This window comes from Homo sapiens, chromosome 2, assembly GCF_000001405.40.
Source record: "Homo sapiens chromosome 2, GRCh38.p14 Primary Assembly".
NCBI classification, from domain to species: domain Eukaryota; kingdom Metazoa; phylum Chordata; class Mammalia; order Primates; family Hominidae; genus Homo; species Homo sapiens.
The window spans coordinates 99,884,025-99,907,611 of record NC_000002.12 but is presented as its reverse complement, the minus strand read 5'-3'; the positions used below and the strand labels follow the sequence as shown (position 1 = coordinate 99,907,611).

At 42.5% G+C, this 23,587-nt stretch overlaps 1 protein-coding gene across 20 annotated transcripts in view, besides 1 other annotated feature; it reads left to right on the top strand.

Annotated features, from left to right (window-relative positions):
* AFF3 (ALF transcription elongation factor 3) overlaps nucleotides 1-23,587 on the top strand; it is a 597,172-nt gene that overhangs the window by 234,979 nt on the left and 338,606 nt on the right. The window lies entirely within an intron of this gene.
* Nucleotides 2,022-2,521: an enhancer, noted in NCBI's record as "H3K27ac hESC enhancer chr2:100521553-100522052 (GRCh37/hg19 assembly coordinates)". NCBI's record gives its function as "activates a minimal SCP1, AML or CMV promoter by ChIP-STARR-seq in primed H9 embryonic stem cells {active_cell/tissue: H9 hESC(primed)}" and the evidence as "EXISTENCE:reporter gene assay evidence [ECO:0000049][PMID:30033119]".

The window sequence follows — 23,587 nt, the reverse complement described above, 5'->3', positions numbered from 1 at the left end:
ACAATTCAGAATCATTTATTAAAAGACCAAAGGCAATGTTAGCTACTTTGAATGAGAAAAAAAAAAAAAGAATAGTAAAAGCTCCACAGCAGACAAGGGAGGTAATTCCAAGTCTGGGTGCATGATTCACAGTGAAGCATTAAGAAAGCGTGGGTTATTTAACCTGAAGAGAAGAATAGGCTTTTCTAAACTGGTGTCTAAGGAATAATATTTTGGTAATACTCGAATTACTTCACTTTAATCTTGCACATAGAATGACTGAGTTTTGCATGAACTTGTTAATTATATAAAATAATAAAATTACACACAGTGAACAGAATTGGCACAGTGTTAGGCAACTTACAGGTTTTACATAATTTTATCATCTTTTTATCAATGACATGATAAACACGAGTGGCTTCAGATTGTGAAGAGGAAGGGTTGTAACTTTCCACCTCCGTTAGGATAAAAAGAGGCCCAGCTTACAAAAGGAGAAATAGCCATGAGTGTTGCTAGAATTAAATTGCTTGTCATTAAGGGGTTGAGGGAGGTTGATTTTAAAGACTGTGGCTCATTCAGTAATTGCCTGGCATGTAGTACACATATAGACTTGTAGTACATTAACAGGTGAGAGTGCCTGGCATAGTATTAGCACCTGAGAGCTCTTCAGTCGTCAGTAAAAGCCCTTCAGTGGTGTACCAGTATGGGCTCCAACAGAGAAACAGAAACAGTAGGCGATATATGGATGTGTACATAGATTGTGTGTGTGTGTGTGTGTGTGTGTGTGTAATATGGATAGGTAGGTTGATTGATTGATTGATTGCAAGGTGTTGGCTTATACGAATATGGGGCTAGCAGGCAAGTCCAAAAGCCGTGGACAGGCCATCAGGAAGAGCAGTGTAGAAAGAAACATGTGGTCCGGAGCTGAAGCTGAAGTCCACCAGTAGAATTTCTTCTTCTTCAGGGAATCCTCATTTCTGCCCTTAGAACCTTTTAACTGATTGAATCAGGCCCACCCAGGTTGTCTGGGATGCTCTTCCTTAAAGTCAACTGATGATAGACTTTTTTTTATTATTGTTATCGACTTTCATCTTATCTACAAAATAACTTCACAGAAAGACCTGGATTGAATAACCTTTCTGTTTGATTGAATGACTGGGGACTGAGGTCTTGCCTCATTGACATATAGAACTGACCATCCCAGATAGATAGGGGTAGGGTTACATTGCTGGCTGACACATAGGTCCGAAAGCACCCACTTGGTAGTTGAGAAGTCCTGAATCTGAAGCCCAGCTCTGCCACATCCTCACTCTGTGGCCAAGCGTGTTTCCTAACCTCTTTGCTTCTCTTTCCTCCTGCATAAAATGAGGTTAATAATGCTGGCTTCATGGGGCTGTTAAGACAATCAAGTGAATATCTGGCATGATAAAAGTAAACAGTCAAAGGTAGTTATGGTTTGGTACATTTTAAGATTTAAGATTCAATTTAGAGAGTTTTATCTTCGCATTATTTAGAATGGCGTCCAGAAATGTAAGAATGCCTAAAAATCAGCTGGCTGGAGTAGTAGGAATAGGTCAGAGTATTTTGGTGTTGGGACCTATGAAAGTTTCTTTTATGTTTCCAGCCATGCATTAGTCAGGCCTGAATTTAATATTCTTTTATTGTGCAGAGCAAAGATTATCAGCGTATTTATCAAACACAGGGAATTAAAAAAAAAACATTGAATGGGAATGATTCTCTGATGGCAGTGGAGGGCGTGATACATGATAACATCTGTATGAATACCAAATGGAGTCATTAGGATCTGCTGCTGCTGGTATGAGTACCAACTGAATTCCTAATGACAGGACTCTTAAAATAATGCATTGCTTAGGATGTGAGGAAGTGGAGTGCTTAATTTTTCAGTTGGTTTATTGCAGCCCTTAACAAGCATGGCTGCTAGTAAGTAGACAGTTAAATTAAACTCATGAATATCTGTTATAGTTTTTGAAATATAAAATTCAAACAAAAGCCTTATATTTGTGCCAATACGCAGAAATGCAGGAAGCTAGGAATAAACACAGGAGAGCAAAGGGAACAAACAATAAGCCAGTGTGGTTCCTCCTTGGCATTTTACAATAACCAGCATCTGAAACAACAAGAGAAGAAACTGTAGCTGATGATATAGTCTTAATTTTTGAGCAAGAGGAAGGGAGGGCAGAGGGGCAGACAAAAAGTATTCGGACTGAGAATTTGAGGCAGGCTCATGGGTGACCATCCTTGGCCTTCTGTGTTGATGGTCACCATGACCAGGATAGCTCTTATGCAAGTTCTTGTTGGAAGCCTTTCCCCAGACAGGCAGGGTTAGGCTAGCAAGAACCTGAGCAGGCATCTCCAGGGCAACTCTGTGAAGACGTGGGCTCCACGGAGGGCAAGAGCAGCAAGTTCCTCCAGAACAGACGTGCGCCATCAGATTCCCACAAAGTTGTGAGCAGCCAGAACACAACCCTTGATGCTGCCATGGGTAGCATGTTTCTGGGCTGTCTCAGCATTGGGGCAGAGGTGGTAGAGAGAGCAGGAGGAGGAAAAGCTGGAGTGACAGCCACAGAGGAGAAGGCCACAAAGTCTGGCATGAGGAGGAAGAAGCCAGTGGTGGGAGCAGCAGTGGGGAGATTGGAGGAAAGGGGAGTCAGGATGATGGGGCCACTGGGCACCTAGGCACCATCCTGGAGCAGCCCAGCACTGCTGTGGGGAGGGCTGCAAGCACCAGCAATATGGGAACGGCTCGAACTCTAGACCTAAGGGGCCCTGAAAAAGAGGACCCACCTATGTTAGTTTTGCAGAGAGAATCTTGAAGGAGACAGGCTATGGAACGGGCCATTCTCATTCGGGATTATCTTCCCCTCTCCCTGTGGGAAAGGAGGGACTCCTGGGTTGTCTGGGGAAGCGGCAAAGGGAAGGTTGATTATTGAAGAAACAAACAAAATGAAAAACACACAAGCTTTCAATAGTGCCCTCCCTGAAAAGCATATTAATAAAAAGAAAGCCCCCTTTAAATAAATAACTGTACAAGGAACTAAATCAGAGTATTCAAGTTTCAGATTTCAGAGTCTGATATTGTTATATCAACTAGTGTTTGTCTCACAAGATACTGAGAGGAAAGGGTGTAAATACATTAATTCAAAATCAGACAAAAAGGGCCCCAAGGCAGAGTGTATTTTTGGATAGGACTTTTTTTTTTTTTCCGAACTCTAAATTTAACCAAGTGGAATTCATTTGTAAGTACCATCCTATTCAACCGTTAGAAATGAAGGATTTGCCATTTAATGGGAGGATGTGCATTTTATTTTAAAGATAGAACATGATGTCCTTGCCTAGCTACTCTCCAGGGGCGTGGACCCTGTTTTGCATTGTGTATTGGGCACAGAGGAGACACAGATTTATCTCAGACCTGACAGGCCCAGCATTTATACATGGAGATCAAGGCTTGGGGAAATCGTAGCTTCCATTTCCAGCTGAGCGTCAGATGGTAAAGCTATCAGAAATGACGTATCTAGTTTCCAGTTTCATACTCATGAGCCCAGGAAGGCAGAACAAGTGAGGAAGAAAAGAGAAGAGTTTTCAGATGAATGATAAAATTAATAAAGAAGATATATAAAACAGTTGCTTTAAACTTAGCAAATTTAAGCAGGAATGAGATGTTATTAAATTCTCTCTTCATTTAGAAAAGGGCTGTCTACTGGGAATGTCTTAAAAGGATGTCAGATAGAGAAGATAAATAGAGTGGACTTCCTGTAATGTATTTAGGAAGAAGGTTCGTAATTGGCAGCATCAGCAGGTTGTTAGCAATGATAAAATGGCATTTTCCATTCAAATGGATGTGACTCAAGACAGAAGCCTATAGGGTGTCTAGTAACATTAAGATACCCCAGACCTGAGAGATAAGTCAACTAGGAGACAAATACAAATATATTTCAAACTATAACAGAAATTTTCACCATCTAGTTTTTAAAAATCTCATTAAATTCATATCTGATTTTATTTATCTTAAACTTGATGATGTTATCTATGTGATGGAAGTCTGTAAATAGTTTATTATTGATATTCCAATTTCTTGAACTCTAATTTTAAAGAAGAGATAATCTGGTATATAAAGCAACTACTGCTCTTTAAAACGTTTGATCAGTGCCAATCATTTTATAATTGTCTTAAATGCAAGATACATACCTATTTCATTGTTTTGAATATTCACTTATTATTTCTTCCTGTACTCAAAAAGTATTGATAGAGTGTTTACTGTTGCCAAGCACTTTTCCAAATGCTGGAGATAAAGCAGAAGAGAGTTTGTTACCATATATCATTGATTAAAAGATACACATTTCTCACATTTTAATAGCTCTGAAATTGGACTGTGTCTTACAATCTATTACGTGTCATAATTTGGTTGGCAGTTTTTCTCTCTAAATGGCACACAACGTGGTAGTGTCTTATACTGGTAGCATCTAAGAATCCTTGAAATAGGGTGTAATGGTACAATTACATAATAATATTATACATATATGCTGGTGTACCTAAGCAACTATTTACTTATTCATATTTATTCAGAAAATTGAGATTCTTCTTCCATGAAACTCATTGTTATGCCTCTGGAGGAGAAATGGCTTCAATATAGAATGCTCTTTGTGTCCTTGGTAGTTGTAAATTGAGAGTAAAAGAGAAAGAAAAATTTGAATTAGTAGATAAAATGGGATTCACAAGAATATAAACTCTAAACTTTCCTATATTTTTTCCATCATTATGCATGGGAGGCCTTTCAGACAGCTTAATCATCTCAGTGTTTGCATTATGTAGGATGTTGGCAGTGTGTAATGTGATCCACACATCTTACTGTTTTTTCTTTGTGTTTTATTCTTCGTTAAAATCAATTTAATTACTTTATAATACTGCTTTAAGTAAATCCAATTATGAAAGTCTGGATTACTCAAGAAGGTTAAATTTGGAGGTGATTCTTCCCTTTGAACATACAGTTACCATAGAATTTGCTCAAATGGGACACTTAAAATCAACTTTGATTCACAAAAACTGAGTTTGCATGCTACTTTAAAAGAATGCCTATCATGTAAAATGAGGTACCCCTGCATTGATGAGGTACACCTGCCTTGACGAGGGACACCTGCATTGAGTTGAGATGACAGTTGAATTCTGCTGAATATGCCCAAGCATGTAGTGAGTGCGCGGTGTGTGTTTGTGTATTTATGCATTTAAAACGTTCAGAAGAGCCGCACACTGGAAATCAGAGTTTATCGCTCATTGGTTTTAAACAAATGCTTAGTTTGTCCATAAAAAAGAATTATTTCCTTCATTGTATATGTATAACAAGTCAATACTAATTGTAGCATGTGACTTCCAGATTTTAAGAATTTACAGGGCTATAAATTATTTATACTATTTATTAAAGTTTATACTGTTTTAAAGTCCATGAGCCTACAGTTTAAGCAGTCATAAGCAAATATACTTCCAAATATGTCAGACATCTATACTTGATGAACAGTATTCACCCGCACACAAGGGTTCTGTGGGAGCACCCAGGAGGGACCTCTGCCTCTAAGTAGGAGAAAATTACATCCAAGCAGAGACGCAAAGGAGGCACAGAGGGAAAAACATTTTCAAAGCCTCAAAGTGTGGGTGAGCGTGGAAAGAGGCCGGAACGTGGAGTTGTGACAGGAGCTGAAAGAGATGACTGTGGGACCGGTCATGAAATGCCTTCTTAGCTGTGACAAGCAGTTGGCCTTCTGCTCTGGGGGGCACAGCTATCAAAGTGTCTCAAGCAGGGAGCAACATAATCAGACTGGTGTTTTAGAAACATCCCTGTGACTGCAGCAAGGGAAACCACTGGAGAAAGAGCAGATGCAGGGAGGTGACTGCAACAATTTGATAAGAATGAGTGGAAGCTTGAGCTAGACTCAGTACTGCAGCAACGGAGAGGAGTCTCCAGAGAAGATGGCTCTTCAGAAAGACTGGAGGATGCATTGGATGGGGGTGAAATGAGGAGGGAGGAGAGGCTAAGCCCCAGATTCCCAGTTTGGCCAGTGGGAAGGGTGGAGTTGCCAGCCATTCTCTGAAATAGTGAACACCTGAAGAGTAGCAGGTTGGGATCACGATAATGAGTTTCTTATAAGTGGAGGTGTCCCTTCGGCTGTGAAGAGAGAGGAGGGCAATGGTTTAGTAGTGCCAGCAGGGTTGGAAGAACCCACTTGACAGCGGGAGAAACACAGATTGCTGCACAGCCCAAGCACCCAGACAAAGCTGCAGTGATGTTTAGATTTTCTGTAGCCAAACTAAATAATCCACATGTAGAGGAGATCCATGGTAGAGAAAGAGCAGGCTCAAAATACGCAGACATAATGCCTTGGGGAGGTATCTTCAGGGATCCCAGCACACCTCAGAAGAATTGAGGGGTAAAAAAGAGAAAAGAGACATCCCATCAAAGATAACCTCACCTTATTTCTTTAGTGTCATGACATCAGAGAGACTTTTTGCAATGCGTTCATAGCCAGATTGCATGCATGCACACACATGCATATGCAGGCATGCACACATGCATGTACGCACACAGTCTGTTTCTTCAAAAGACATGGAGCAACCTGCTGTTAGAGGGGACCTGCATTTTTACGAGCCTGTGGCTAATCCTGCACTTGCGGCTCTTTAGGAGAAGGAGGAAAATGAGTAGCATTGTTCACTCTGTGGACTCTTTCTAGCAACCTGCCGTCACGGAATTGAGCCAGACCTATTTTGCGGAGATCATCAAACCTGCCAGACAGCCTTTCGTCATGGGCATTTCCCCCTTTGACTGTACCCATGGCTACCGCTCTATTCTTGCCCAGAGTAGCTCTAGCAGCTGCTAGAACCACATTGCCAACATTCTGTGACCTTCAGAGAATCCCAGGCCTGGTCTGGCCACCCAGACACTTCCAGTCAGTAAATGCCATTGTATCCAGGGCCCACTGTGTCCTGCTGGGCACTGCACCAGCCCGCAGGAGGTACAGCCCTTTTAGCTGCCTCACCAAATGCTGAGTGGGCTTTCCTCCAATGGGACCCTGAAAAACGTTGTCGCTATGGGCAGGGGTCTTTGAAGGCGGCAGTGGTCCAGTGGTCTGTGTGAAGGCAAGAATTAAAATAAGGAGCTTCTGAATGAGCCCTGGGTGGTCACTGAGAAGGGGAGTGGGGGTGGGCCCGAGTCTTAGAGCTACATATTTGGATTGGAAATGTTTTAAAGCTTGAGAGCCCTCTTAGAGGTGACCCAAACCAAATTTCTGATCTATAACAGTCTCTGCATCCTGAAAGCTGTGCGTTCCCCTGGGGTATGGTAATTTAAGTGAAGTCTTTATTGGGCTGAAATTACAGTATCAACTCATGTACTTTCATCATCATCACTTTGTTTCATCATGAGATGGTAATACTGTCTCCCTACAACTGCAGTAAAACCTTGCCAGTATAATTTCTCATGGTAAGTTACAGCCTCTTCACAGGGTTCCCACGTTTCCTACATTTGAATTAAAATTCTTCTCAAGCCTTAATATCCTATTACAGCCACGATGTTGTGAGCTCTCCATGGCCTTGCATTGAAATCTTATGGGATCATTGCAGTGCAGTTAAGTGGTTATTGGTGCAGCATGGTTTAACAATAAAGCCCTAAAAAGCCACTTCAGAGTGCACACCATCCTGATTTTCTAAGTCTAAATAGTTCTGCCATTTCCAGACGTGCCTTCAAAATATCCAAAGACATGTGTCTACCTTGGAGACCCTAGCAGTTACTTTCTAATAAGGCAGAAACAAATGTTATTTCCTTTGCCTTTCTATTTCATTAGGACTTGACTTGTGGCCCCTCTGTTTCTTGGCCATGTGGCTCAGACTTTGACCTGGCCCCATGGATTATGTAGGGCAGGAGAAAAAGAATGTTTCTATGTCGGTAGCTACTATTAAAACTACTAAAATGTGAAGCCAATTGTGTGGCGTTCAGGTAGCGGAACTGTCTGTTCTTTTTTCCTTCAAATCCTTATGTCAGCAATACTTCTTTCATGATAACATTTATTTATCAAAGTTTATGCTACTTTGACTTTTTATAAAATACCAGTGAAGATAAATGGATCGATTGACCCCAGGAGCAGTTTATTTATCCCTTTAGTCACACTTCAGTGGCCAAATCAATACTCTTCTGAAATATCTGATATTACAGTGATTCCAGTAAATAGTGACATTCCTGAGCTATGTGCAAGGGGAACTGAAATTTATTATCAACTTAGATTTTTTAGTACCTGTATTGATTTTCCTGGAGATGCTTGTGAATTTTTATTTATCTGTAGCTGAGCAAGTGACCTTTGTTTCAGAAAACTGTAGTTTAAACTTGCCAAGATTAGGAGAGTTGGAAGAACTTGTGTATATTTGTGAATGTGGCGTGAAAGTAGGAAGAGGTATTTTTTCAGAAGTAGGCATTTTTGTTTTCTTATCTATTCAGTATTTTGCATTCCATTTGTGTTGCCAAAATCCAGACATGTCAAATCCACAGGTACTTATTAAGACAATCTGTGTGCCCAGCCCTGTGACAATGGCTGTAGCAGAAATACGGCATTTGCAGTGGTCTTGGTTTAGAAGGTGAGATTAGCATAAGCAGAGGTTTGAGGGAAGAGTGGGAGCAAGGAGTGGAGGACAGGAAACAGGAAGGAGACTGGGCTGCTGGTGGGGAGGAGGCAGGACAGGCCCTGTGAGGGCAGGGCAAAGTGGGAGTCAGCGTTGGCCAAAGCGAGAGAGCCCCAGGCAGTGGAGCCTTTGATGTCAGGCCTGAAGGCAGTGGGGACTGTCTTAGAATTTTATGCTGAGATGAAAATGTATGACTGAAAAATTGGTCTGGTGGCAGGAGGTGATCAGAGTGGGTGGCCGCAAGAGGCTTCCTGGGGAATGGGCTTCCTCAGTATCCGGGTGCAGCAGGTGGGCCAGAGGCGACCCATGGCAGCCCCCAGTGTCAACGTGAGCAAGTGCAGGACTGTGGACAAGACTGTGATGCCATGCCCGGGGCAGAGAAGATGATGGAAAAGGAGAAGTTGCCCCAGATCCAGTGGCTCACAGAAGCACTCTTCCTGAGGAAGAGCTTGTTCTTGAAGTTTGCACCCACAGCTTCTCCTAGGCGATGGGCTTGGAGAGCTGTGGTCAGCATCAAGAGCTAGCCTGGCAGCAGGGCAAGGATGTGGCTGCGAGATGGCATCGTGGTACCCACTCTCTCTCGGTGCCTCAGTGTCCTTGTGGAGGATCTGGCCTCTATGACTTGAGTGATGGTAAAGTGAGATGATCCCATATGGCGTTTGACGTTGTGCTGCACACGGGGTGGGTGCCCAGTAAATGGGAGTGGTTATTATTTTGAAGATCCTTTAGGGAAAAAATGTCCATTCTTTAAGAAGCTAAAGCAGAAATGAAGGGAATGAGCACTCAGACATCTTCCACTCTGCAAACATTTTTGTTAATAACAGGAAGGAAGAGAAGCAGCCACATTTTTTCTGTGGTTCTCATATAACATTGTCGTGTACTTGGTGGAAATTACAGAGGGAGCTAGACTTTGAAAAGCCTTAAGACTTGTCAACCCAGCTTATCAGATGAGGTCTCCAGTATTTTTCAGAAGGTAATCACTTGAGAGGCTTTGTTTCTTCTTATCAATTCACAATTAATGTGTTTTTATTAAACTGGCAGATTATAATTTTGCATTAGAGTTCTGGGGCTCTTAAGTGCATAAAATTCATTTGCCTACATCTTTTTTTCAACTACGTATTTCAATTCAGTGTTTATTGGCATTTGCTAACTACATATTCATTACCTTACTGGTCAAATAAAACAATATATGTGTGTCTCACTCCTAAAGGATCTTATCAGAAAGGACTGTCAAATGATGATAGAAGACGGTAAGTGAATGAGGACTAACAGGAGTGGTCTAGACAGTGAGCTCTCCAGAACTGGAAGGAAGTTAGAACCGGGCACTAAAATCCTCAGCAGAGGCCTTGCAAGGTGAGATAAGAAGCCGGGTTTTGAAAAGGTGGTCTGGTGTGGGCAGTGGGAGGTCAGTGTGAGGAGAGATGACCAACATGAGCAGAGAGACCCGAGTGGGTCTGAGCAGGCCTCCACCAAAGGATGGGCAGACCTGGCCAAAGAGACATTTTGAGTAAGTCTGAGGGGGCCTGATAGCCACAGTCCGTGTGACTCTATTTCACTCCTACGATTCTATGAAAATAGGCTGGAATGATGTTTTAGGGGGAGAGAATGGGAGCCAGGGGGGTGTTTTATTTTCAAATTAATTGCATGTGACTGAAAATGAAATTTCAAAGTATATATGCTTACCATCCAATTTGTCTTATACTTGCTGCTGAATAAAAAGTCCTGAAATTCAGTTTAAATATTGGTCTTTGTTATCCCAAAATAGCAATCATAATTATGGTAAATTAGTTGAATTCACCTTTCATTTATTTTGTAGTAAATATCTATTTCACTTAACTTTAGTAGATAAAGTAACCAACTATTGTTCAGCTTTTTAAAAAGCCTTCACAATACAATTAAAAAAATTATATGTAGTAACTAATAAAAGTAAACCATTTCTTTAAAATTCACGGGGTGTACTTGCAAAACAGTTCATGTACACCTGGGAAGATGGAGAGAGAACTATGAAATAAGAATGCACAGGGCCGGGCGCGGTGGCTCATGCCTGTAATCCCAGCACTTTGGGAGGCCGAGGCGGGCAGATCACGAGGTCAGGAGATCGAGACCATCCTGGCTAACACAGTGAAACCCCGTCTCTACTAAAAATACAAAAATTTAGCTGAGCATGGTGGTGCGTGCCTGTAGTCCCAGCTAGTGGGGAGTCTGAGGGAGGAGAATCGCTTGAACCTGGGAGGTGGAGGTCACAGTGAGCCGAGATCGTGCCACGGCACTCCAGCCTGGGTGACAGAGTGAGACTCCGTCTCCAAAAAAAAAAAAAAAAAAAAAAAAAAAAAAAAGCATTTTGACAGGGAAGTAAATGATCAAATGAAACATCTTGACTAGAAATTTAGAGTCATTTCACTTAAATCTGCTTCACTTCAGCTGGAAACTTCTGACAGGTTCTTGGGTGACAGTTCATGCAAAAGGCATCAGGCACTGACCCAGGAAGATAACTCCAAGAACCAGAGACTCCTGCAGAAGTGGCAGGAGTGGGCTTATGGACAGGTGGCTGCAGCATGGGAGTGGGTCAGGATGGCTTTCTATATTTCTGGAATTTGGGGATCACAGGTGAGTCTTTAGATGGGGAAGCTTCAGAGGTCCCTGATAGTAGTAGGAAACTCCTCAATGCAGAATGTTTGGTGCATTCCATAGTACACAGTTTCATACAAATTTACAAGGTCATATAAATGCCCTACTTATTATACAACCAACTTAGGCCTCCCTAGTTATTTATCCAGAAACTTAAGGTGGACAGAGTTTTCTTGAGTTTTATATTGCCAGTTTCTCCATTGAAATTTAGGGGAAAAAAGAAAAAATGAGATAGCTTTTTTTTTTTTTTTTTTTTTTTTGAGAAGGAGTCTCACTCTGTCACTCAGACTGGGGTGCAGTGGTGCGATCTCGCCTCACTGCAATCTCCGCCTCCTGGGTTCAAGCAATTCTCCTGCCTTAGCCTCCCAAGTAGCTGGGACTACAGGCGTGTGCCACCATGCCTGGCTAATTTTTGTATTTTTAGTAGAGATGGGGTTTCACCATGTTGGCCAGGCTGGTCTCGAACTCCTGACCTCAGGTGATCCACCCACCTCAGCCTCCCAGAGTATTGGGATTCCAGGCGTGAGCCACCACGCCCATCCGAGACAGCTTTTTATAAGTGTAGAAGCAGCTATGGAGAATGTGCAAATATGGTTTATTCCCTTCTTCAGTTCAGTACTTTAAATCACTCCCACCGAGTCCCTGCTGTGTGCTCTGTCTGTTCGTCAGCAAGGATGGAGAGCATAGCCCGGACGCTCACTGTGGCTGGCACGGTGGTGAGGGGCTTTGCAGTGTCAGAGGTCAGCCTTTATCAGGGGTAAGATCCTGTCTGCCATGAGCCTGGTGGCCTCTTTATAAAACTGACTTCAGAAGGTTATGTAAATGGATGCAGTTCAATAATATATAAGGGAAGGCTCTGATCCCTATTCCACAAGAATGTCTCTGCACTTCAGCGTATCTAAATTTCAGCATATCATCTTTTTAAAATCAAAGACACACTTCTACTCAATGTTTCTGAATTGCGGTTCAACTTAAAAAACACTTTAAAAATGTTTACATGATTTTTACATAAATCTCTTCCAAAGTATGGGAAACACCTTGTTGGTGGGATTGGACACAGGCATTGTCTTTGCAGAATGTAATTTGGCAGTATCTATACAATTTGAAAGTGTGAGCCCTTCGAGCTTGATGTTCCTTGCTCAGAACATATCCAGTAGAAATAGCCATGCTCATGCATCAACTCATATACAGAAAAACTGTCAACAACCCCAGTGCTTTCTTATACAGAAGAAGTTCAGTAAATCGTGGTGTAATCATGGTGTGGTTTCTCATGTGTCAGTTACACAAAATGGAGCCAACCTATGTGTGCTGGCAATGAAAAGGCCTCGAGAAATGCTGAATGAAAGGCAGCTGCCACACCTGTACATAGCGTGGTTCCATTTTTATTTTTAAATAATGGCACACAAAGCTATTAGTAATTGGTTAATTTTGGATACAGACTGAAGCAGAAGAGGGACTTACATTTTTAAATCTGTGTGCTTTTGTACTGTGTGATGTTTCTAAAAGCATACACCTATGTATTATGTAATTTAAGCATTTTAAAAGTATTTTCCTGGCCGGGTGCAGTGGCTCACGCCTGTAATCCCAACACTTTGGGAGGCCGAGGTAGGCGGATCACGAGGTCAGGAGATCGAGACCATCCTGGCTAACATGGTGAAACCTCATCTTTACTAAAAATACAAAAAAAAAAAAATTAGCCGGGCGTGGTGGCGGGCGCCTGTAGTCCCAGCTACTCGGGAGGCTGAGGCAGGAGAATGGCGTGAACCCAGGAGGCAGAGCTTGCAGTGAGCTGAGATCGCGCCACTGCACTCCAGCCTGGGCGACAGAGCGAGACTCCGTCTCAAAAAAAAAAAAAAAATTCCTGACGCTGATCAGAAAAAACGTCAAACAACCAGAATGCTGATGAAGTACCAGACACTGCTTCTGGTTCCTTCCTTTTTTCCCTCCCTCCCTTTCTTCCCTTCCTCCTCCCTTTTTTCTCTCCTCCCTTCCCTCAACATTCAACCCACCACAACCATATTTAGTATTACCTTGTGTGTCCTTCTAGAGTTTTCTTTAAGCAGATGCACATGTAGCCATAAATATTATCTTTATTTTCCCTCCTTTTTTTTTTTTCAAAAAAAGGCATCCAGGCACCATATCAATGTGTATTTTTCTGGGCTTTGTGAGGAACATCCTGTTTAACCCATTTATGCCTAGTGTTCCATTACTGGTTCCATTATTGCTAAGCTTGTGGGAGTTATTTATATCCTACTACTCAAGGTCATTGCAAAGGTCTGATTTTGCACAAAAAAAGAAATTTGCAACCTCTGGCATAAATGGGTTAATTTCCACAACCATTCCATGAGAGAAGGCCGGTTATTAGCTCCAGTTTACAGATAAGAAGATTGTGGTTCAGATACATGGAGCCTCAAAACTTAGAAAGTGGCAGAACGGGATGTAAACTCAAGTAGTCTGAACCCAGATTCTCAGTTTCTGAGTCCCTTAAATACTGATAGATAAAAATTTCAAATAGAATTTAAGGATAGTGATAAAGGTATTTGGAAGTTTCTGTGTCTAGCCCCTCTCAATTTATGAAAATCAAATAGTGTTAGTTGATGTTCTTCTCTAGTTTATAAAACCATCAGTGAGCATTATTGGGCTGCCGTAACAAAATGCCATAGACTGTAGAGTTAAACAAGGGGAACTTATTTTCCCCGAATTCTGGAGGCTGAAAAGCTCAGGATCAGGGCCGGGCAGGGTTCAGTGTTTGGTGAGAGCCCCAGTCCTGACTTGCAGACAGCCACCTTTGTGCTGTGTCTCTGATGTCTCTTCTTACAAGGACACTCATCACAAGGGCTCCGCCTTCCTGATCTGATCCAACCCGAATTACCTCCCAAAGGCCCCATCTCCAAATCCCATCACACTGGGGTTAGGGCTTCAACTTGTGAATTTTGAGGAAAAACGTGCATTGAGTCCACAGTGCTGTCTAAATAGAGACTGTCAGGCTCCTAGTCAGTCATACGTATTAAATGCTTGCTCTGTGTAGCACACTCTGTGAAATACTTCACATATATTCATATAATCAGATATATTCCTGTTGTGGAAGGTTCTGAGAAGGTGTGACCATTGTCACATCCTGAGCAGAAGGTGGCCCCAGCACCAGGGAGCAGGCAGGTCCTGCCATGGGTAACAAAGACAGTTACGTGGATTTTTTTAGCAAAGCTGTTAATGGTCATGGTTCACCCTGTGATGTCTTCTTCATGGGCACAGAATGATCTGTGGGAGCGCCAGGGAGGTGAGAATTAAGCAACCATATTCCCTTCCTTGCCCACCCTTGGAACAGCTTCTCCTTGGTCACTGGCATTGGTCACCCCCCAAGTCCACACCTTCCCTCTATGCTGTTCTAGGATGGAAGGACCCAGAGTTGAATGCTGGGCCCCACCACGAGCTGGGAGGTAATCTTAGAATTATTCTCCACAATTATATTGATCTCCCAAGATTCCCTCTGGTGCTCAGGATGTTGGTGTGCGTAGAGGCCATAACACTCTGTGGGAGCAGTCAGGGCCTGCAGTGCTACAGAGATCGGATGCTGTCTTGAGCAGGAAGCAGAGCCCCTGAGCCATTCTCAGCAGTGGGCCTGCTCTGAAGGGACCTCTGGAACTGCCGTCCAGGGCAGGTGTTGCTGGGGAGGGAATGCGAGTAGAAGGAGCTGGAATTTGAGAGCAGGTTGATGCAGGCAGGGCCCTTTGAAGACCTCCGAAACAGTAGGCCTGCTTTCTTTCAGAGGCCCCACCCCATCCTGGGAGACAGATTAAAATAGACTCACATCCCATATTAAATACAACAGTTGAAAAAATTCTTTAAACTTTATAAAGTTTATTATAAAGCTCTTTATAAAGAGCTTTTATAATTTTGCTTTTGGAGTTATCTGACTATGAGTAATTCATTTAATTTATAGTTGGCTTCTCAGTTATCATTAGGCAAACTCAAGAATTCTTAGAATGTGGGAAAAAATCTAAGCTACATATTATTTTCAAGTGTAATGAATTTTGTAATGAAAACTAAATGTAACAATGAATAAAAATGGCTTAATATGTTTTTAGACGTTTAATTAAACATTATTAATTTTGACATTATTGCTTTCTCTTTTTATTTTGGAGCCCATATATTTTCCTTCTAAAGGTCTGAAACATTTGTGCGAGACCTTCAAAAGCTGGTGGGCTTTGGCCGGGTGTGGTGGCTCATGCCTGTAATCCCAGCACTTTGGGAGGCCAAGGCGGGCGGATCACGAGGTCAGGAGATTGAGACCATCCTGGCTAATACGGTGAAACCCTGTCTCTACTAAAAATACAAAAAATGAGCCGGGCATGGTGGCGGGTGCCTGTAGTCCCAGCTACTCCGGAGACTGAGGCAGGAGAATGGCGTGAACCCGGGAGGCGGAGCTTGCAGTGAGCTGAGATCATGCCAGTGCACTCCAGCCTGGGCAACAGAGCGAGACTCTGTCTCAAAAAAAAAAAATGTGCTGGTGGGCTTTAAGCCCAGGGCCTGAGAGAGAAAATGGAGATAATCCTGGCTCTACCAACTATGAGCTGTGGGACCCTGGGAAAAGCCCTTCCACACATTCTGAACCTCTGTGTCTTCATCTGTACAGTGAGGCAGTATCGCCTCGCACAGTGAGGTTATGTCTGCTTGCTTGGTGTTGGGTGAAACATCCATCTGCAGCTGTCCTCCATTTGTCACAGGACCAAAGTGGAAAGCTCAGTCGCCCGCCTGCCCGCACCTGCAGCAGGGGTAAGAGAAGTCTGTCTTCCCCAGCTTCAGCATCCTGCCGGGCTGGGCAGACTCTGGCTGCCTCTGCTGGAGGCTGTGATGCTCACCTGCCTGCTCCTTGTTCGCTTCTTTACTGATCATGTCTTTTTATTCTGCATTTTGAAGCTTTGACATCTTAGGGCCTCACTGACCCTGAAAGGCTAGCTAATTCCCGGAGACAGCAAAAGCCTGGCCTGCTGCTGGGAACACGCCTTTCACCCACAAACAACTGCTCCAAAGCCCATACCCCACCTCCTTTTCTGGGCTCTCACACTCTGGGCCCCTGTCTCCTGCCCTAATCAATCCAGGACACATACCAGATAACTCAGGACAGCCTCTGTGCTCCAGATCTCGCTGAAGTTATTCCAAATAGCCAATCCTAAACCTACTTACTCAAATCCTTGTCCGTTCCCTCCCATGGAAAACAATAAAGGCTCTTGCCCACTTTTCTCCCTGGCTCCCTCTACCTCCCAGCTGACCTTGGTGCTTCCCTGTGTGACCCCCACCGTGTGTGGCATGTCCCCTCCCATTGGGAACTGTGTGTAACAAACTATCATTTCAGTGGCAGTTATCTCCTGATCTGTTGGCCTCACCACACATGAATAATTAAATCTGCATTTCAAAATACCTCCCACCCCTCAGTTTGGCTATCAGAAGACACCAGCCTGGGGAAGGCAGGCCCCAGTGAGCAAGGAAATGAACTCCCAGTCTGTGCAGGTCCCGGTGGTGGTGTCAGGGAGGGTGCAACTGACAGGCTGTGGATCTGTACCTGATAGGCCAGGGGCATGCAGAGGTCACTGTGCCCAGACAGAAGTGGTGCACGTCAAAGCCTGCCCCCAACACCCCCACAGTCCTGCCCTTTGAAGGACAGGGGCACGGAGGGGTAGTTAGTGTGCAGCCTGTGAGAGAGTGCTGGTTGGGAGAAAGTGCAGAACTCAGAGAGGTTGCCCGCTTCTTCCTCCTGCTCCGGGGCTCCTGCCCACTCTGACCTCTGAGCATTCAGTGTGCCCGGTCAAGCCTCGTGACTGTCCAGGCAAGGCTTGTTTTGTTTTTGTCATAATTGAAAATGAGCTGGGAATGCATGTATCTCAATCATTTGTTAAAAGTATTTTTAATTGCATTTCTGATGAATGTTCAGTTGAAGTGAATACCAAAACTAAAGGATTAGAAGCAAAGTATTTGAATGTATAGAGCTAGGCATGAGAACCCAGAACGTACACCTAATGACAGAGCCTGTGTGTTCCCTGAATTTTGTACCAATCAAAACCCTTCACCTGTCCTGCCATTTCCCTTGCTGCTGCCTCATTGGGTGGAAGTGGCCACCTGTAGTTTTCCAGAAAATTCACAGAGCACCGCTGGCTGAGCTGGTGTCCCATTACCACTCCAGGCGTATGCTGGTACATGTACCAAATTCACACAGAATGTCTGGGGCACTCGGGGGAGAACACTGTGGGAACAAAAAGACCAAACAGAGAGCCCTCCTATTTCAGAACTCGCCTGTGCACACGCAAAAGGGCACCTGTGTTTTCTGGTGGATGAGGCAGGGGCAGATTTACCATTAAAGAAGTCTAACTTTCAGGCTGGATGCGGTGGCTCATGCCTGTAATCCCAACACTTTGGGAGGCTGAGGCAGGTGGATCACCTGAGGTCGGGAGTTCGAGACCAGCCTGGCCAACATGGAGAAACCCCATCTCTACTAAAAATAAAAAAAATTAGCCTGGTGTGGTGGCACACGCCTATAATCCCAGCTACTCAGGAGGCTGAGGCAGGAGAATTGCTTGAACCCTGGAGGCAGAGGTTGCGGTGAGCTGAGATCACGCCAGTTCACTCCAGCCTGGGCAACAGAGTGAGACTCTGTCTCAAAAAAACAGCTTAAGTTTCAGGGCTCCGGGGTTGAGTGTCCTCTTCTAAGGCCCTCTACTTAATTTCAAACCCATAATTTTGCTTTTTTCTTTAAAGATAGCATTATAGCTTTTAAGGGCCCAGATAACCTGCCTCTGCCCCTGGGAAGGCGTTATGCGGGTGCTTGTGATGTTTTTACTCCTTTCATATAAATCTGTCATAGTGAGAACACATGTTGGAGATGGCATGTGTCAACATGATTCAAAAACAATGGCACAGGTACCTCTGCTAATAAATATATTTCAAATGGATTATTCATAACACCTTAAAAGGACTTGGATTGAAACCTATTGCCTTTCTTTACAAGATTCAGATCTGTTAGAAATCTGTGTGGAGTCAGTCCCCATGGCACAGGCCTGTAGTTCAGCTGCTCAGGAGACTGACTGAAGGATTGCTTGGTCCCAGGAGTTTGAGGCTGCAGTGAGCTATGATCTCGCCTGTGAATAGCCACTGTACTCCAGCCTGGACAGCACAGTGAGACCACATCTATAAAATTTAAAAAAAAAATCTGTCTAGAATATAAGAAAAAGAAAGAATTGATAAATCAGTGCTTTTATTTCTAGGCAACATGTCTGTCCTCCTCCTAGGTTTTAAGCCTAAAAATAAATTTTTAAAGGTTTAAAGCATACAGCTACATCATTATTTTTATGGCAGTCAAATTAATTCTTCCGTCCACCACTTGAAGCCAATGGAGATTGACGGTCCTGTTTTCTTACTTTAATGATGTAAACCTCATTGAAAATGAAGATTCTGGAGGATAAAAAATGGTGCTGTGACTGCTATTGATTAAGTGTCTTGTTGCCGTCATTGTTCATCCCTCCTTGGCCTCTTGGGCAGAAGGAGGCCCAAGAATAACATTGCTGACATTTCCTTGAAAAGATGCAGTGCTTGACAAAGACAGCTGCATGCTTAAAAAAAAAAAGATACAGTTTTGATGCACATGCTTTAGTCTTTTTAGGACAAGTGATTGATTACGTAAAAGAAAGAGTTCTTAAAGTCACATCGAGTTAAATGTCCATCTGACATACTTAAGAATAAAAGTCATTGTAAGATGGTGAGTTTCAAAAACTGCATGACTTACACAATTTTTAAAAAGAAATTGATGAAATAGGGAGAAATAAAGGAAAAGATAATACACAGTAGAGTAATTGTAACATTTAATTGGAATAAACATTTCTAGTATTGTAGCTGTGAAATCCTGAATGTGTTCAAAATGTAGTTTCTAGTGGTGCAGAAAACGAAATGCTATTTTTAAATGACAAAGTTCAAACATTATATGTATACTGAAGCTCCTGTTTAATTAACAGTTTTTATTCATTTGAAGTTGTAAGTTTGTCCTCGATATCTATGCTTTATAGATGAGCTCTCTTTAATTTATTCCAGTACCTTCATCATCTGCTCTCTTCATTTGTTCTCATATTACAGTGAAGTTTTACAATGTTTTATTTTTCGAGTTGTGCCTTTCCATCCAAGTATTTTATTGGGAATATACTTTTTCGTCTCTTTCTTGGGGATGATGAAAAGTATTGTGACTATTAGGCTCATTTCTAAGACATTTGATGCAAATTTTTGACTATGACAGCGTTTCTGAAGTTATTAATATAACACTTGCTGATTTTGATTACAAATAGTGAGTGCAGAGAGCTAGTTCTCAGAATCATGGACGTCCATGGATATTTAGTGTAGCATTTAGGGACGTGCCTGTTTGGAGTTGGGTGGCCCTGGATGGAAGCCTGTCTCTTCCCTACACAGCTGAATGATCTGGAGCAATTACCTACCTTACTAAGCCTTGTTTGCTTACCTGTGAACAGAGGGTGGTAATACCTGTCCCATAGGGATGCCATAAAGGATTAGACAATGTATGGAAAGAGTTGAGCACGATGCCTTTTGCAATAAGAACTCAATAGTTGATATCTACTAGCGTAGTTTAATGATAAGTATAGCAATAATAAATATTTATTTAATGCTAAACATGTTTCAAATGTTGTGTTATGAACCATGATTTTTTTGAAAAAGGAGTAACTCCTGACATTGAAGAGCTTATATTTCCTGGTAAACAGCGCAGATATTTAAGTGATAATTACAATATAATGTGATAACTACATTCCTAGTAATACTATGATATTTTGTGAGCACGGATAATGTGTTGCTTTAAAAAGATAATCAGCTTCATAAACTAGATTCTAAATTAACAAGCACAGTGCTAACACTCCCCTGACTGAACAGTTATACAAAAGGCTAAGGGTCTTAGAATTTATTGTCTTTCTTGCTGAAAGATGATTCTAATAACAATAAGGTTTTCCCCCTCCTATAATTTTGTGTTTCCAAAAACAAATGGTGAGGAAACAATAGAGTATGTTTACCCTTTCTGGACTCAGGGACAGGGTCTCTAATTTGGTCTCTGATTTGGACAGCTGCTATTTGCCTTAGACCTTTTAGGTTGTGTTTCTAAAGACTGAGGCTAAATTGAACATGACAGAGAGGATTCAGGTGAACAGATTAGCTCATCTGTCTTCCATCAGCACACCTGTTGCCCCCAACAGAGGGCAGAACCATTTCTCTTTCAAGCATGGGCTACTGATAAATTCAGCTAGGCGAGCTAGTTCAGCCTTCTCATTAAGGGAAGTTAAGAGAGAAGTGATGAAATCTTAAAAATTAGGAGTAACTGGACATTTCGTTAAGGGAGATGCATTACTTCTTACAGCACTAGGTATGAGTTGAAGTCAATGCATTTTAAACATGGTTTTCCTAAATTGAAGTCTTTAAAAAATAAAACTTTAAGAAAGTATCCTAAATACATATGGTAAAAATTTTCACAAATACTGCTCTTTGGCCATTCAAGAAATCTTCAAATGAAATATGATGTTGGAATTTTTTCTGCAGCAGTTATTCTGATGTAATATACATCTGCCTTATTTTTTCCATCACTAATTTTTTTCAGTTTGGGTAATAAAACTTGTTCATGAAGCGTGGTATATAGACCATTTTTAAATGGCCCTACTCCAGTGGACTTCAAGTCCAAAATGCAATGAGGAGTTTTCCTAATGGCAAATGTGCATCTTTTACATTTTTGTAGCATGGAGGGGGAGGCAGTAGAGGACTGTGGATGATTTTAGCTCTGCTCTCAGGCAGAGAGCATCATGGAAATGTGTCCAAACTGCTTTAGGAGGCTCTCTGACCTTGCGCGTACCTCCTTTATTCCTGAAAAAAAAAAAATTGTAATGACTCGAGTGAGTATGTTGTAATTTACTGTCAGCATCTTGGGGCATGTGTATGTTGGGACAGGCTAAGGCCAGTCCATTTAAAGACAAGGTTCCCCAGCAGGAGCTGGCCAGGGACAAAGTAAGTGCTCCACCAACTTTAAAATATGTGCATGGAACATGGTGATCAGACCTCGCTAGCATGGTCAAGTAAGGTCAGGTAAACCTTTCTGAGGTAGGAAAGGTGCAATCTAACTGGACAAAATGTGATCAGTGTTAGGTATGAGGCAGAGGGTACATACGAGGTATATTTGAAAGAGATTTTTAAATGCATTTTGGGGCATCAAGAAGGAGGGGCACACTTTGTTCAGGACTTGTTTCTCTTTCTACCAATCAATCATTAAATGTAAACTGAATCAATAAACTTTCACTGTCTGCGTGTTCCTTGTTCCAGTATCTCCTGTCATATCTCCAGACAGTATGTGATGAAACTAGTTGGTAACAGGTAAGCCTCTCTTATGGGTTAATGTAGTAAGAGAAGGTAGGTGGAGAAGCTCTATCACATGATAGATTCCAAAACCAATCCTGTGCGTATGATCTGCCCCAGAGCTGAGTTCTGCCCTCCAAATGACCTTGTTCCAGTGGCCCAAGTGGCTGAGCTTCTCTGCCAACCAAGAGTATGATGGAGTGAATGCACAGACCCACTACAGACAAGTTCATGGAACCCCAAGGATTCAGTATCTTTCACAACCTCTAAAACTTACAAGGGGCCATGGATGGAATTGTCAAGACTTAAAAAAGACCCTGCACCCTCTCTTTGAAACTCCCATCCCTGAAATCAGCAACTCCTGGGCACAAATATAGATTTAGGGGCCTAGAGTATCTCTGAGACTCATGATTCCTTGATTGAAAGTAGGAACAAGAAAATAAGTTTTAAATGATTACATTTTTGTTTTAGTCTTTACTCTGGGTAAGGTGTGATGTTACATGCAGGCTGTGTGCATGTGAGTACCAAACACAATTCCTGCTCTCAGGGAAACATGGATAAGACTTAAACAAGTGAAATGTTAAATAGCCCTGTGAGACAGGAGGGAATGCATATCAAGCAAGACAGTGTGGTCATTGGGTTTTGAGGGGGAAAATGAGGGAAAGGCCTTTGTGTGTGAGGTAGGGTAAAGTGGATGAATTTGAATCACATTTTGAAAGGCATTGCAGGTGGGATGGATGAGCAGATGTTCCCAATAGGAACGCCTGTAGACTGTTCAGAAGAAATTGCCCAAATGAGCCAGATGAGAAGGCTGAGGGCAGGGCTGCTTTTGGCTCTGAGGACTATAGATTTATCCTCTAGGTGATGAGGGGCTATTAACGGCTGGTGAGTCTGGAGAACTGAACAGTGGAAGCTCTATTTTAAGATTCACGTGGCAGTAGAGGATAGAGGTGTTTGGAAGCGGTGGGCAGTTGGCAAGCTATATGGGAGACATTTCTGGCTTAAGAACACAAAAAATGTGGGAATACAAATGGATGGTTCCAGTGAATCCCCCAGGTAGAGGGAGAGGCTGGGATTGGAGGATGGTAGAAGCGAATATGGTGAACCCAGCCACCCCCTCACCAGAATGTGTCTCCTCTGGGAGCTGGCTAATGTGGTCTTCACAGTGAAAATTGTTGGATGAGTGGTATAGACATATTATCCTTTAATTAAACATCTAACTTTGAAAATCTTGATTAATAAGCAGGCCGGGTGCAGTGGCTCATGCCTGTAATTCCAGCACTTTGGGAGGCCAAGGCTGGCAGATCACTTGAGGCCAGGAGTTTGAGACTAGCCTGGCCAACATGGTGAAACCCCATCTCTACCAAAAAAAAAATACAAAAATTAGCCAGGTGTGGTGTTATGTGCCTGTAGTCCCAGCTACTGGGGAGGCTGGGGCAGGAGAATCTCTTGAACCCCATAGGCAGAGGTTGCAGTGAGCCGAGATCATGCCACTGCACTCCAGCCTGGGAGACAGGGTGAGAGTCTGTCTCAAAAATAAATACATACATACATAAGCAAATAAGCGTGGTAACTATAGTTAATAGCAATGTATATATCAAAATTGCTAAGCAGATTTTAAATGTTCAAGCCGTACAACGAAAGTACGTGAGGTGATGGATGTGTTAAATAGCTTGATTTAATCATTCCATAATGTATAAATCTATCAGAACACCACATCGTAACCCCATAAATACGTATACTTTTTATCAGTTAAAAATAAATAATCAAAAAATAAATAGTTATTTGCTTTTCAAAAATAGTTGTCTGCTCAAGAAGGAATTATAATCAAATTACTTTATGGACCAATCTCTCCTAATGTAGTTACAACATGATGTCTGTACCTTTAGTATCACAGTGGGTAAAATGAGGCAGTATTTGCCGT